We start from the raw sequence: 14,421 nt of genomic DNA on the forward strand, positions 1-14,421 counted from the left end.
AGGGAGGAGTGGTGGTCACAGGCAGCACCCGGGGCTTGTGGGACATTGCTGTGTAAACCTCCACCCAACAACAGCCACCCAGCTGCCCACACGGTCCCCAGCATGGAGCGGACACCTCCTTTGTTTACAAGTTGACACATCTGGAATATACCCAAAGCATGCACCAGAGATAGCCATTCATTTATCTGCACTGCCTGTTTTCAATAGTCAGATTCTCACGAACAAACCTCGTTCACCCACACCAAAAATAACATGAACGGTTTAGAGGAATGCAGGCCCTATTAGGTGCTGCACAGCGTTTCATGCAAGCCATCACAGAGGGCCAAACCAGGACCCTTCTTAGGTGATTTTATGAACAAGGCCGAATATTGACCCTGAGAGCTTCCCACGGGCTTTACGATGAAGATCAGCAGAGTCCAGCCAAGAGCATTTTCACAGACAGATTCGTTTGTGATCAGAGACGCCCTCGTCATGGCTTTCTGCTCTTGGTGATTAAACCAAAGAGAACAGAGACATTTAACTAGACATGAACTGGAAATAGATTCTGGCTCAAAACCCACAGAGAGAAGAGAAAAACACAGCAGATTGGTGGACAGAGGTTGAAGTGCCTCACTCCACTTGATTTGACAGTTGCCTTTAGGTTATTCTACCAGCCAGGTTGGACTAGGTTTGCCACAAACACACAACCCTCTTTTGTGTGACCTTGATCTTGTTTTTCTACTATGCTTCTGCAGAGAGCTGTAACCCCACCAGCATTCAAACATTGCCAGGCGCCATGGCAGAGACAAAAGAAGTCGTGGTAAATTGCACCCCGGACATAAAGCCTCCAGCCTGAGAGATATCACTTCTCCACACATTTATTGTCTTAACCTCAAAGCCACAGAGAAATTCTACCTGGGCCCGGACATTGGCAATAACCCTGATGGTTACGGCGGTGACTCATATTTTCTTTGGCTGCCCAGATGCACACAGGCTGGTGGCTATTTTCAAGGCTGCATTATAATTATTTTATAATCGTCGTGATCAGTCCTAATAACACATATTTAGTGAGTAGTTCCCAGGTGCAGGACACCTTGCCCCATGCCTTCTTTCCATGAATTCATTCTTTAATTCATTCATTCAACAATTGTATACGGGGTGCCTACTGCGTGTGGAGCGTTATGCTGAGCAACTCACAACCACGCTTCTTCTTTGGAACCACCCTGTGAGACGGTGTGTGAGTCAGGATTTGCAGTTGCAATAACAGAATCCACTTGAGGAAGCTGACGCAGAAAAGAGAATTTATTCAGGAGTTCCTCTCACATAGTCTGTGGGACGTGTGGAAACCAGGAGCAATGCCTAGATCCCACTGGAGTGCGCTCCAGCAAAGACGTCACGGCTGAGGCCTCTGGCAGGTGGCATCACAGCGCTATGATCAGCCGTGGCAGTCTTGACAGAACCCACAGAACCAGATCCCTCCAGCACCACCCTCGCCTGAGCCTGCACCCACGCTGCCTCCTCCTGAACTAGGGCATGACATGCTCCTGCCTTCCTGCAAGGGGCATTGGGAAACTTACCTTGGAAGCAGGAGGCAAAGGGACACGCTGTTTACCTGCTGCTGGGAAGCCTAAACAAGGCAGGTGCTCAAGACAGGAAGTCTGCTCTGTGGACAACACAACTGAGCCTCAGGGAGCTTTAAAACAAACCAACGAAACCACCAACCATCCCCACCCACCGGGTTCCCCAGCTAGAAGGGGTGCAGCAGGCGAAGTCCAGCCTGTCCCATTCCCAGCTGATGCCAAGCGGCACAAGGGTTCAGATGAACGTGACGTCAGGTCATCCTGCATGTGAGCGTCACGGAGGGCTCAGATGAATGTGGCCTCAGGTCATCCTGCCTGTGGCACACATCCCGGTGGGGATTTTCACAGCAGGTAATTAGATGTGTGTCTAGACGACCATTTCCTCCACTGTCGTTGCGACATCATGGGTTCTCCAATCAACAAGTACAAGGAGCAGAGAGCAGAGAGCCTGGCTGGAAGATGACACCTTCCTCCTCGGCTCTTCTCAGCCTTCGACCCTCAGGTCCCACGTTCCCCAGCTCCCTGGCCAGTCTCCCGGGCTCCACCCGCCCCTCCCTCACTCTCAGGAGAACTGAGCTGCTGCCGTGGACAGGAGGGAGGTGCTAGGGTGGGAGGGTCTTGCTCTCAGGTCTGTGCCTGGACTGCCTGGATTTCTGGCCTCACTCCCACCACACTAATAAGTGAGGATCTTGGGCAAATTCTTCACCTCTCTGAGTCTCAATGTCCCCTTCTGTGAAAGGGGATAAAGTAATCCATGTTTAGCAAAGTTCTGATTGTTATCATTAAACGGGATGGGAACATGACAGCTATTTCCAAGCTGGGAGGGGCTTTCTGCAAATGAGCTGTTTTAGGATATCCCCTCTGAATGAATCCGTTTCAATTTTGCTACAGGCATTTGCAAATGAGCCCCCTGATGGAATTGTTATGTTAATGAGTAATGCCATAACCTGGGGAATGGAGTGAATGACACCTTAGTTGGGGACATGTTGTTATTGCCAAACCCAGAAAATCTTTATGTAACTTTGCCCAAATGGTCAGGAACGTGGATGCTGGAGCCAGGCCTGAGTTTGAGTCCCAGCCTTGCCATTTTTGAGCTGTGTGACCTTGAGCAAGTGTCTCAACATCTCTGAACTTCCATGTCTTTGTTTGTAAAATGGAGATAAGCCTAGCCCTGTGCGTGGTGAGATTTGGAGGCGTACATGAGGCCATTTGTAGAGCCAGCCACACACACTGAGAGCTCAGGGGAGCCACTGTGCCTGGCTTTTTTTTTTTTAATCAGCAGATCATTGGTGCAGGAGGAGCGAGTGGACAGGCAGCTCCCAAGCAGATGGAGGAGAGAGGGGTGGCTGAGAACTTGGCTGTGAACACACAGTGGAGGGTGTGCTGATGTGGAGGTGAGAGGGTCCTCTCATCCCTCTGCAACCACAGAGAGCCACGGAGGGCCCACAAGCCCACAGCACCCAGATCGGGCTCTGGGAAGTTCCAGACAGAGCACCTGGTGTGGGACTCATTTCACCTGAGCAATGACTTCAGGTGGAACACTCGGCAGTACTGAAAATCGCAAGGGAAGTTCTGTAATTACGAGAGCCCCGAGCACCTCCCCACGCCTCTCTCAAGCATCCTGGCTGCCTCCATTAGCAAGCTAGAGCAGGCTTGGGCTGCAAGCCACGGTGTCTAGGAAGAGTTTAATAATGGCGGTGTGGTTTCTTGCCTTTATTTTTATAGCAGCTTCTGATGGCAATGAGAAATGACTATTTTCACGAAGGTCTGTGCTGTACAATTGTTCTTTTAAAATAAGGTAAAGTCAGAAAATGAGTTGATTTAAAGAAGAAATATTAGGGGGAGGATAATAGTATAAATGGAACATGCAGTGCCAGCAAAAACTGTGATGTGGAAGTTTGGAGAACAGTTTTCTTTCAAACAGATTGAGGGAGGGCAAATAAGACATAGCATACATTGCAAGGATCTAATCGGTCATCAGTATGTTCATTTACATTTTCAATTCTCCCCTATTGCATGAGTTTTATTTCCCACCAAAGCAATAAACACATACCTGGGTGAGTTGGGGGGGCGGGTATCAATGAGAAACTCCTATAGGGGACAGTAGTCTTTTCGACTCTGACCATCTGCCCTGATTGGAGACACTCTGAGACCACAGGTTGCTCTCAGCTCTGTGGACGTCCAAGACAGCAAAGCTGGGGGTGGGTGGCCGAAACAGGGACGTTCAGATGATGGCACTGATGTTTGGCTTCTAAGACCCCTGGGTCACCAGCACCCAAAGGCGGCCGCCGTGTGCAGACTGGATGAGGGTTATTGTGGGTTGAGTAGGAATTTGCAACACTCATCTTTTCTCACTGACTCTTGGCCATCTCCTGGTCTCCCCAAGCCCAGCCCCATCCTTGGAGAGGCGCACCCATCAGGAATGTGGAAGTCGGAGAGCTCGGGAGGAGTGAAATGCGGGTGCCGGGAGCCAGTCTCAAGGAACGCGGCTAACAAAAGGCTCACATTGCCTGTCGCGGCTAACAAAAGGCTCACATTGCCTGTAGGGCAGCAAGCGTTTATTCACACTGTCACCGCAGCAGCAGAATGAAGGCCATACCTGAAGAAGCTTTGTTATAATCTGGGTCTTCATTCTAACTTTGTATCAATTATCACACACTTCCAGAAAACCATACAAACTCAATACCTAATCTCTGATTAATTACTATGTTAATATATCTAAAGATTATCCTCAGAAATGCCAGACAATGCAACCAGTGGTTCAACACACTGTACTAAGTATTTACTATGGAAAACCACACAATCATTACAAAGTTAAGCCTATCCAAATGCACTGCTGAGAAAAATGACCACCTCCTATTGTTAAGGAAAAAGACCAGCTCGCAGGGCATTTGCTCACCCAGCCAACAATATTTCCTCAGTGTCCACCGCGTTGCAGGCATTGTTTTAGGTGCTGAAGATGCGGTAGTGCACAGTGCACATGCCAGGGAGGGAAGACGAAACGAATCAGTCCACAAGTAAACAGGAAAATGAACGCCGCCACTCAGACAATGAATAAAACAGGATGTGGGAAGGAGCGACCCGGGTCCCTTTGGCAGATGGCTGTGGCCTCACTGCCAAGGTGAGATTGGAGCTGAGAAGTGAAGGATGAATAAGAATCAGCCTGCAAAAGATGTGGCAGGGAGGGCTGGACTTACCGCTCAGACGCAGGCCGAGCAAAGCTGCCGAGAAGAAATTCCGCGTCTTCCAGGACTGGAAAGAAACAGCCCTCAGCGTCTCCACCTGAAAACACCCAGCCAGGTGTGTGGTGTTTCCACTAAGCCCACTGTTCTCTCAGGAGCTCCAGGTGGAAGACTTCACCATCCTTCCGTGGAGAGATAGAAGTGGACGGCACCATTTGGAAAAGGTATTTTCTCACAGGCATGACAGTCACCTGTTAGGTGAGGTCGTCCTCACCCCTGACGTATCTCTGGAATTAATCTCTCTGTGTTCTCTTCATAGAACTCAGCACCTTATCTTTGCCTGGATTGCTTAAACAGCTAAAACAGCCTTTTAAAGAAGCATAATATTGAAAACAATCGTCCTAGTTCCCATGTCTTAGACATCCTCGTAAATATCTGCTGGGCATGACCTCCTCTTCACATGCCCCTTTCGGAGAGGGACTGAAACCTCCCCTTTCACAAAGAAGGAACAGCAGGCGGCAAACAGCAGAGCTGGGATTTGAACTCAGGTCTCCCCAGCTGCAGGGAGGCAGGGCCATTAACTTTATACGGAAAGATATGCATTTTAAAATTGAAAACAAAGTATGCAAAGAACTCATGGAAAACCAGAGAGGAAACAAGGAGATGACACGGAACAGCAAAAGAAGGACAGATAATAGAAAATGCAAAATCAGAAAATAAAAAGTCTATTTTATTTTATGTTGAACTTGGGTTTTTTGCAGTCTAAGTGGCAGGAGCAATTCCTCCTTCTTTTTGCTAATGAGACTTCTCTCCGCTGGCAGTTGGAGGCATTGCTTTGGACGCCACATTTGACAACCCCTCGCTGGCCTTCCGGCCTCCACTCTGGCCCCTGCAGACCACCCTCCCCGGCTGCCAGGACATCCTCCTAGAATGCAAACGTGGCCCCGCCACTTCCCACTGCACATTTCTCAATGGTGCCCACTGTCAGCTAGGTCAAGTCCCAGCAGGCCCCAGGCAACCTCTGCAGCCTCTCACCCCCCATCCCTCCCTGCGAGGAGCCCCCTTCGGTCTCTGCTGGACGTGAGGTTTACTCTCCCACGCACCCCTCTAGAATCCCCCTGCCCTGACCCCTCTTCTCCAACTCAGGAAATTCTTGGGCTCCTTGGAGGGTCGCTGTAACATCGATAGCTTATTCTTTGCCACTGTAACGGCGTTCCCAGGTCTGTGATTGGCTGCGCATGAATCTGTCCTCTCCGTTACTTCCAGAGCTCCGTGAGAGCAGGGCCAGTATCCTGTTCATCTGTCTCTCTGGTGCCTCATTGGAAAAGAGCATGGGAGAGGCCAAAAAATGAAAAAAAAAATGACAGAACAGCTTGGTAAGATATCTCTTATGGGGGTACAGGATCTGGGAGAAGTGCATAAAGAGTTACCAACCAAGTGTGTGGGATGGGCAGGTCAGGGAAGGCTTCCTGGAGGAGGCGGTGGGCAAGCTAAAGGTTGGGCTGGAGCCAGTCAATGTGGCGGAGAAAAGAAATTGAGGCAGGGTTGAGGGTTCGGAGAGGCGAGGAACTCTGCCTCTGTGAGCATGAGTTAGAGGATGGTGAGAGATGGCCTTGGATAGGTAGATAATGGTCTGGAGCCCCTGTTATAAGCTTTAGGCTTCACGGTGAGAGGAGCAGGGATGCCTACAGGTTGTTTTCTTACAAGGAAGGAGTGGTGTGTGGTTGGGTTTCCATTTCAGAAAGGTCACTCTGACCACAGAGGGGAGGATAGATTAGGAAGAGAGGTGGCTGGCTGTCATGTTTGGTTGTATAGGTTGGGCACTGCACAACTTTAGGGGTAAGATTTTCCCCTCTCTGGTGGCCTGGGTACGTGAGAGTGGCTGACATCATCTGATGGCAGAGACTCTCATTGGACAGTTGTTATGGGAAGTTAGCAACTGATGCTGGGCATGGCAACAAGCGGAGTGCTATGGACACAGAGAAAGGGACATGTTGGTTCAGAGAGACTCACAGATGCATCAACAAGGGCTCTGATCCTGCAGCTTTGAATGAGGCCTGGGGTGCAACCTGTTTGCGAGCTGGGTACCTAAGGGTGGCATCTATGGACCACCTAGAGGTGGATTTATCATGAAGCCAATGCAACTGAAGCTTCAGGACATGAATTTGCATAGTCCTCTTCCAATATGTCACCAAGGTCATATGTTTTTGTGAAATTTGCAAGATACTTTCATCACAGTTGGCTAAGACAGCTGTCTCCTCCTGCTCTGACTTGCCCTCCATCACCTCTGCTGGTGGCATGGGAGGGGCCATGATTTGGCTAAGGGGAGGCTGATACCTGGATCCTGGGCTGTGAGCAGTAGACTGGCATCAGCAGCATTGCTGGTGCCATCAGGATACAGACACCAGGTGTGGTGGCTTCCAGCATGTTCCTCCTGCCCCTCTGTCAACTTCCCTGTATCATGACATGGAGGTGCAGAGACAAGGGTGGAACAGTGAAGCCACCACGCCCAGTGATGCCGGCAAGAACACGAGCAGGCGAGCATGGAAAAGGTTGGAATCTGCAGAGCCTGGTCTGTGGAAAATTCCTCCAAACAGATACACATGGCTGTAAACGTAGGACTCGATTCTCTTGGACTCAGTGAAAATGGCAATTCATTCCCATCAGGAGTACCCTCAGCAATGCAGTGTGTAGGATGATAAGTGTGCCACAGCTCGTAAAAATCACTTTGGTGGGAATGGTATGTTTGATCAAGCTTGAGTATCCCACTATAGTTGGAACTTAGAAAGGGATTATGGAATATTCGAATAAAGAAAGTGAGAAATCGCAGACTCCTAATTTAGATGTATTTGAAGGGTACCTTCTTTTATCTTAAATTTGTTTGTTAAAAAACAATGGATGACTTGAGTAATATGAAACAAAAGAGATGAACATGAAGCATGGCACAGATCTTCCGACATTGAGAAGCGAATTACAACTGAAAATGTCCACATCATAACAGAAGCAGAAGTTCATTAAGAAGAGGTCAGCTAACAAGGTGAAACCCGGTCTCTACTAAAAATACAAAAAAAATTAGCCAGGCTTGGTGGTGGGTGCCTGTAGTCCTAGCTACTCGGGAGGCTGAGGCAGGAGAATGGTGTGAACTTGGGAGGCAGAGCTTGCAGTGAGCCGAGATTGCACCACTGCACTCCAGCCTGGGCGACAGAGTGAGACTCCATCTCAAAAAAAAAAAAAAAAAAAAGGAGGTTGGCTGTGTGCGGTGGCTCACGCCTGTAATCCCAGTGCTTTGGGAGGCCGAGGCAGATAGATCAAGAGGTCAGGCGTTTGAGACCAGCCTGGCCAATATGGTGAAACCCCGTCTCTACTAAAAATACAAAAAAAAAAATTAGCCAGGCATGGTGGTGTGTGCCTGTAATACCAGATACTCAGGAGGCTGAGACAGAAGAATCGCTTGAACCTGGGAGGTGGAGGTTGCAGTGAGCCGAGACTGCACCACTGCACTCCAGCCTGGGCAACAAAGTGAAACTCTGTTTCAGAAAAAAAGAAGACGTCAATTTCAAATGGAAGTGATAAATTAGCACTTAGGTGACATGATAACCTAGTTCAGGGGTCCCCAGCTCCACAGCTGCTGATGGGTACTGGTCTGTGGGCTGTTAGGAACCAGGCCACACAGCAGGGGGAGCGCCGGGTGAGGGAGCATTACCACCTGAGCTCTGCCTCCTGTCAGATGAGGGGAAGCATTAGATTCTCATAGGACCTCGAACCCTGTTGTGAACTGCACATATGAGGGATCTAGGTTGTGGGCCCCTTATGAGAATCTAATCCCTGATGATCTGAGGTGGAAGAGTTTCATCCTAAAACCATCCCCACCACCCACTCCCGTCCATGGGAAAACTGTCTTCCACAAAACCAGTCCCTGGTGCCAAAAAGTTTGGGGACTGCTGACCTAGTTACTGAAGAGAAGTGAGTAATATTAATATATTACACCAATATTTAAATTTCTTGCTGGCTGGATGGAAAATAACTGACATTCAGGTAGATAGGATAAAATCCACAAATAAAATCACTGATGACAAATTCAGTACTGTCAATTCAAACAGCATGTGATGTTATTAATTGTACAAGAAAACCTGAAATGACCTGAAATCTTACAACTCATACATGGAGGAAATTCAATAGAAGTTTTCCCAAATTTGATTATAGTCTTGAATTTTTTACAACAGTCTCAGTTGGGATCAATGGGTCAGGTAGAAGCATAATTATATCATTGTGAAACTAAAAGACATTTTTTCTAAGCTAACTTCCACCAAAGACACACAAAATCACACTGTAGCCAAATACGCCACAGCAGATGCTGATCTATCTTCCTCTTCTCACTGTAGAAAACAATGTCGACAAAATTGTCATCATATGAAAACGAGTTCCTTTGGGTTTATCTCTAAGAATTTGTTTTAGGAATCTGGGTGCTCCTGTATTGGGTGCATATATATTTAGGATAGTTAGCTCTTCTCATTGAATTAATCCCTTTTCCATTATGTAATGTCCTTCTTTGTCGTTTTTTATCTTTGTTGGTTTAAAGTCTGTTTTGTCAGAGACTAGGATTGCAACCCCTGCTCTTTTTTTGCTTTCCATTTGCTTAGTAAATTTTCCTCCATCCCTTTATTTTGAGCCTATGTGTGTCTTTGCATGTGAGATAGGTCTCCTGAATACAGCGCACCAATGGGTCTTGACTCTGTCCGATTTGCCAGAAGTAGCTTACCCAAAAGATTCTCTTGCCATTAAAATAAAGGCAGAATTCTATTTAACACATGTAGCAAAATAATGCTGAATGTGAACCTACTAGCCACTGCTGGTCCTGCAAAATTCTTGAACATACTTCACAGGTGCCATCTGGAACTACACCTGTACAAAAATCACCCCGAAAATAGTTTTCAATCAACATACACTTGCGATTATATTAAAAAAAAAAAAAAGAAAGAAAGAAGATCCAAGAACATGCAGCAAAAAGAAGGTATCGTGGGTGTGTGTCTGTCGGGCAATGAATTAGTGAAAATATGTTAATTTGCAGATGTAGTGATATTTGCAGTATTTGTTAGCTTTTCAAAATATGCAATTTGTTATGGTTTCTTTTCTGAATATTCACTTTTGTAACTACTTTTATGTTTATAATTTTGTATTCTTTCCTTAAAGAAAGATCCTCATATTGTATTAAGGCTTGAACCCACAAAACCTGGATCTGGTGGTGGGGGCCAGGAATATACATTTGCAATTTCAGACCAGTCAGAGGTCATATGGGGTAAGACTGAGGTGCCAGTAGTGAGGGCTGCCCAGCTCCAGGCTTGGAAACTCGCATTGGATCCCAGCTGAACCAATGCCACTCTGGGCGGATGCTGTGACCCCGGAGACTTCACAGGCGGTTCACTCATTAATATCACTGGGCTCAGATCTGTGAAACCCACGCCTCCCACACGAAGCTCAGTCTTCCAGCCAAAATAACACACTGTAAGCTCGGGTGTAGTTGAAAGTGAAACCGCGTAGTTTTTAAAGGTTTAAAAGCTCACTTGAAGAAGGGCAAAGGGTCAGGAAAGAAAGAGTTCCATTTACAGAGACTTGGCAAATCTTTCCCAAGGAAGATGCCCCACTTACAACATGTACTTTCCACTCTGTGCACTGCCCCCAGGCTGGGGCCAAGGTGGCTAGTCAGTGTTCTTGTCCACAGTGGTGACGAAGGCTTGGCTTCTGAAGTTTGATCTGGGGAAAGAGGTAAACTTGGGCGTTTCAGAGGTGGAGGGAGGGTTCTGTGAGGGGTCAGGGGAGACAGATATGGAGTACAGTCAGGGGAACCCTGCATTGCATACCTGCAGCTATCACCGCTGGATGGGCCTGAGGGAATGACCTATTCCAAGCGCGTCTCATATGCCAAAGGGAAAAGAAACGAAGGCCGGAGAGTTTATGCCTCTTGCCGGAAGTCCCTGTGAAATGTGTGTGGGGCCAGGGGCGACAAGCATTGACTGGAAATCCGCCTTTTAACAGGAGCCTTATTCAGATTGACAAGTAGTTGGCATTCAGATTTTCCCATCTGAGCTCATGGCCGCAGTTCCTAAAAGGCTGTTTGAGGGTCCCCTGTCAACATTTCAGATTTGAAGGCACCACTTTAAGGGCCTTTATCATTATCCACAACAGCAGCAGCAGCATGAGTAGCATTAGGAATGCGTTTCCTCCTGTGCTTTGAGGCTTACGTAGGTCTTTCTTCTGCATCGTTTCATGAAATTCTCACAAGAACACTATGAGGTAGGTGTCAGATGTCCATTTTACAGGACAGAAAAGAGATTAAAAAAAAGAGAGAGAGAGAGGAAAAAGGGCTTTATTCAAAGCCAAGTCAGTTCATATGGGCAGAGCCAGGACTTGAACGCAGGCCCCACAGTCTTAACTCCAATATTTTCAGCTGCCTTGGGAACTTCTTGGAAGAGCCCATTCCATTTTCCTGCCATAACATCATGGAATGATGGGACGGGTGTGGGTGCTGTGGGTCCCAGTGACGCTGTCTCCCAACTGCCTCCAACAGGTGCTGCCAGGACACGACTCAATGTCTGGGTCGGGTGGACAGGAACGTGCTGTGGGCCCCGGCCCTTTGCTGTAAGCCTTCGCAGGTGCCGTTCATTCTGCCCGGGACGCGTCTCTGGCCTTTCTGAACGGGTGTTGCCTCCTCAGGAGCCCAGCTGACTCGTCTCACTGACTCCCCCTGCAGCCCTCTCCACCATCTGGAATTAGCTCCCCTGTATCTTCCACTGCTTCCTCGACATCTGACTCACTGCAGTGGGTTCTAAGCTGCAGGAGGACAAGGGCCTTATTCCTCTGCTCACCAGTCTGCCCTCAGCAGCCACCGCTGGCACTCAGTGTGTTTTCAATAATCGTGTGTGGCTGAGATGCAGGCGGGAAGCAGAAGGAAGCCTTGTCTGCCACCATCAGGCCGTGTTGTAAGTGCAGGTGGCCCTGGGCTGCAAGTTTTCAACGGGGACATTAATCCCAAAGCGACGTCCTCGAGCATCCTTCTATTCTGCAGCACTGCACTGTGCTACGAAAGAGCCGGGACAGAAGGCCAGGTTGCAACCCAAGTCCTTCCATTTTTACTGTAGAACCTGGGGCCGAGTGATGAACCATCTTTAAGGCTTGGCCTCCTCATCTGTAAAGTGGGTCTGAGAGCAGTGCCACAGGGCTGCGTAGCCCTGAAGATAGCCCCGGAAGTAGGGTACTGAAATACCTACTCAGGACACCCCAAGGAAGTGCCCAGTCAACACCCAGCCAGAGAACAAACTGGGCAGTGCAAGTAACTCAGCTCTGGAAGGCTCCCCCTAGTATTTTACTAATAACTAACACTTAAACATTGCTGTCAGATCACAAATATTGTAAGCAAACATCACTCTGCCGTTGCTTGCACAATGAATGAGTGCAAGGCTGGCGATTTGGGGAGCCCATCTCAGTCATCAGTTCTCTCCCTGCAGGGACATTGTTTCACATGGCAGGGTTGTCACCTCAAATGCCTTCAAGAGCATGCAGGTACCCAAAGGAAGGAGGCAGCAGGGGTTAGGTATGACCTTGCTCCCAACCAAGGACACCAAAAAATTGAAAACACAGTGGTCACTCAATAAAATCTATCTCCAGGTCATCCTACAGGCTAGCACTTTGCAACTCTGATACATTGCATGGGGACACTTGATTACTGGTGACAATTCCAAATGAGATTATTTCAGGTCCCCAAACCCTTATTTGAAACCCCTGGGGCCAGATGCATGCATAATTCAGAAGTGTCATGGGTCGTGGAAGGTAACATGGTGCACAGACCCCACATAATATAACTCCCCACAGGGTTTGGGGCAGCCTTTCACGAACAGTTCTGCAGGGAGTGTTTCAGCATTCAAGCTAAGAGGGAGAAACTGAGATTAAAGACAGTCTCACGCATGTTCAGGGTAGCAAGTTTCGCTGCCAGTTGAGCTTTTATTATTTTTTTATTAGATTTTCACGTTTGGGATATTGGAATTGCTGAAAAGAGATTGTGGATCTGTGAGGCCAGGTTCTTAGTCTCTCAGGCAGACCCTGATGCACCGGCTGCCTCTAGTGTCCCTCTGTCCGTTTCCCCGTGGCCTGGGGAAGAGGCTCCCTTGTCCTCCCGTGTCCAGTGCCACGCCACCTCCTCTGTTCTTCTTCCCTCATCAGTGGCCTTCCCATCCAGGCTTCTGAGAGCTGCGGAGATTTTTTCCTCTCTGCATATCTTGCAGTGTTCAGACTCTCAGCGCCAAGGCCAGTTTAGCTGCTAATTGAGCGGAACAGCACCAGATGAGCCAACTGATATTTGATGAGCAAAGGCGGATTCCACGCTGGATCACCAGTGAGCCACGGTGATGGGGGCTAGACTTGCGTCCGATGAGCAAAGGCGGGTTCCACGCTGGATCACCAGTGAGCCACGGTGATGGGGGCTAGACTTGCGTCCGATGAGCAAAGGCGGGTTCCACGCTGGATCACCAGTGAGCCACGGTGATGGGGGCTAGACTTGCGTCCGATGAGCAAAGGCGGGTTCCACGCTGGATCACCAGTGAGCCACGGTGATGGGGGCTAGACTTGCGTCCGATGAGCAAAGGCGGGTTCCACGCTGGATCACCAGTGAGCCACGGTGATGGAGGCTAGACTTGCATCTTCTGACTCCTACTTTGGGGTGTTTTTCTCTAAGCTGCAAGAGGCTCAAGAAAAAAAAAAAAAAGCCCGGGTATCCGGCAGAGGACAGCACGCCAAGGCTGAATCTGGAGAGGAGACGCGTGGCCCCAATCCACTTCCATCTTACAGACCTCTGTTCTTTGGCAACCCTTCTTCCTGAAAGTGAAAATCCCTTTTGTCTGTGGGAAAAACCTCATAAAAAAAAAAAAAAAAAAAAGCCCAACTGAAAAACACATTGGTTTCTATTCATAATTGGGGGTGGGGGGGGGGAAGGAATTTCACACAGATTCAACACATACATGAAAAATAAAAAGAACCAGTGACTCAGAGGCTGACGTGTTTCCCATTTCCTAATAGCCTTAATTTTTTAGGTCACTGCTCAGCTATTCAAAGACTGTCTCATTTAAAGATGATTTATTTATCAAGGACATTGGGAGAAGCCCAGTGAGTGTTGAATCCAAAAATGCCACAAGCAGGCCCCTCTCTGCTCACAAACAGAATGGCAACTGCCTATTTCTCTAGTTGTTTCCAAAGAGCCGCCATGTTCAGAAACCTCAAAGTGGTGAAGACAGGTGGAAAATGGTGAATATTTTGAATTTCTTCCCTACAGATAGGAAGCGGGGAATCAGAAGAAGAGGAACCAATTTCAAAACAGACAAAGCTGGGGCCTGACTAGAATTTCCAGCCACTCTTTCTGCATGGCATGTTCTGGCAAGGTCTGTGCAAAATGAAGAAACCTTCGAATAAATTTCATTCCGCGGTAAAATACAATCTCAAGGCCTGAGGAATTTGGAGAGATTTGGAACTTTTGACCCCTTGGCTAGGTCTGTCCGTCCAACAAGTGTGAAGGAGGAGGTCAGCTCCAGCTCCCAGTCAACCATTTAGGTCAGAGAATGATTTCACCAAGTCAGCAAGGTTTGCCACTGTCAGCTGCAAACCTCCACAGTGGAATGAGTGGCATGGGTGCAGCC

At 48.3% G+C, this 14,421-nt stretch overlaps 1 long non-coding RNA gene across 1 annotated transcript, besides 2 other annotated features; it reads left to right on the forward strand.

Moving 5' to 3' along the window:
• Positions 997-1,645: an enhancer, noted in NCBI's record as "H3K27ac-H3K4me1 hESC enhancer chr16:86857754-86858402 (GRCh37/hg19 assembly coordinates)". NCBI's record gives its function as "activates a minimal SCP1, AML or CMV promoter by ChIP-STARR-seq in primed H9 embryonic stem cells {active_cell/tissue: H9 hESC(primed)}" and the evidence as "EXISTENCE:reporter gene assay evidence [ECO:0000049][PMID:30033119]".
• Positions 3,588-4,235: an enhancer, noted in NCBI's record as "NANOG-H3K27ac-H3K4me1 hESC enhancer chr16:86860345-86860992 (GRCh37/hg19 assembly coordinates)". NCBI's record gives its function as "activates a minimal SCP1, AML or CMV promoter by ChIP-STARR-seq in naive H9 embryonic stem cells {active_cell/tissue: H9 hESC(naive)}" and the evidence as "EXISTENCE:reporter gene assay evidence [ECO:0000049][PMID:30033119]".
• LOC124903746 (uncharacterized) lies at positions 4,763-5,474 on the forward strand. Its single transcript, XR_007065167.1, has 2 exons — positions 4,763-4,965; positions 5,061-5,474. It is a non-coding gene; the product is annotated as an uncharacterized LOC124903746 (long non-coding RNA).
• Positions 5,475-14,421: the final 8,947 nt, after the last annotated feature.

The sequence above is a fragment of the Homo sapiens genome, chromosome 16 (genome assembly GCF_000001405.40).
Source record: "Homo sapiens chromosome 16, GRCh38.p14 Primary Assembly".
Classification (NCBI taxonomy): domain Eukaryota; kingdom Metazoa; phylum Chordata; class Mammalia; order Primates; family Hominidae; genus Homo; species Homo sapiens.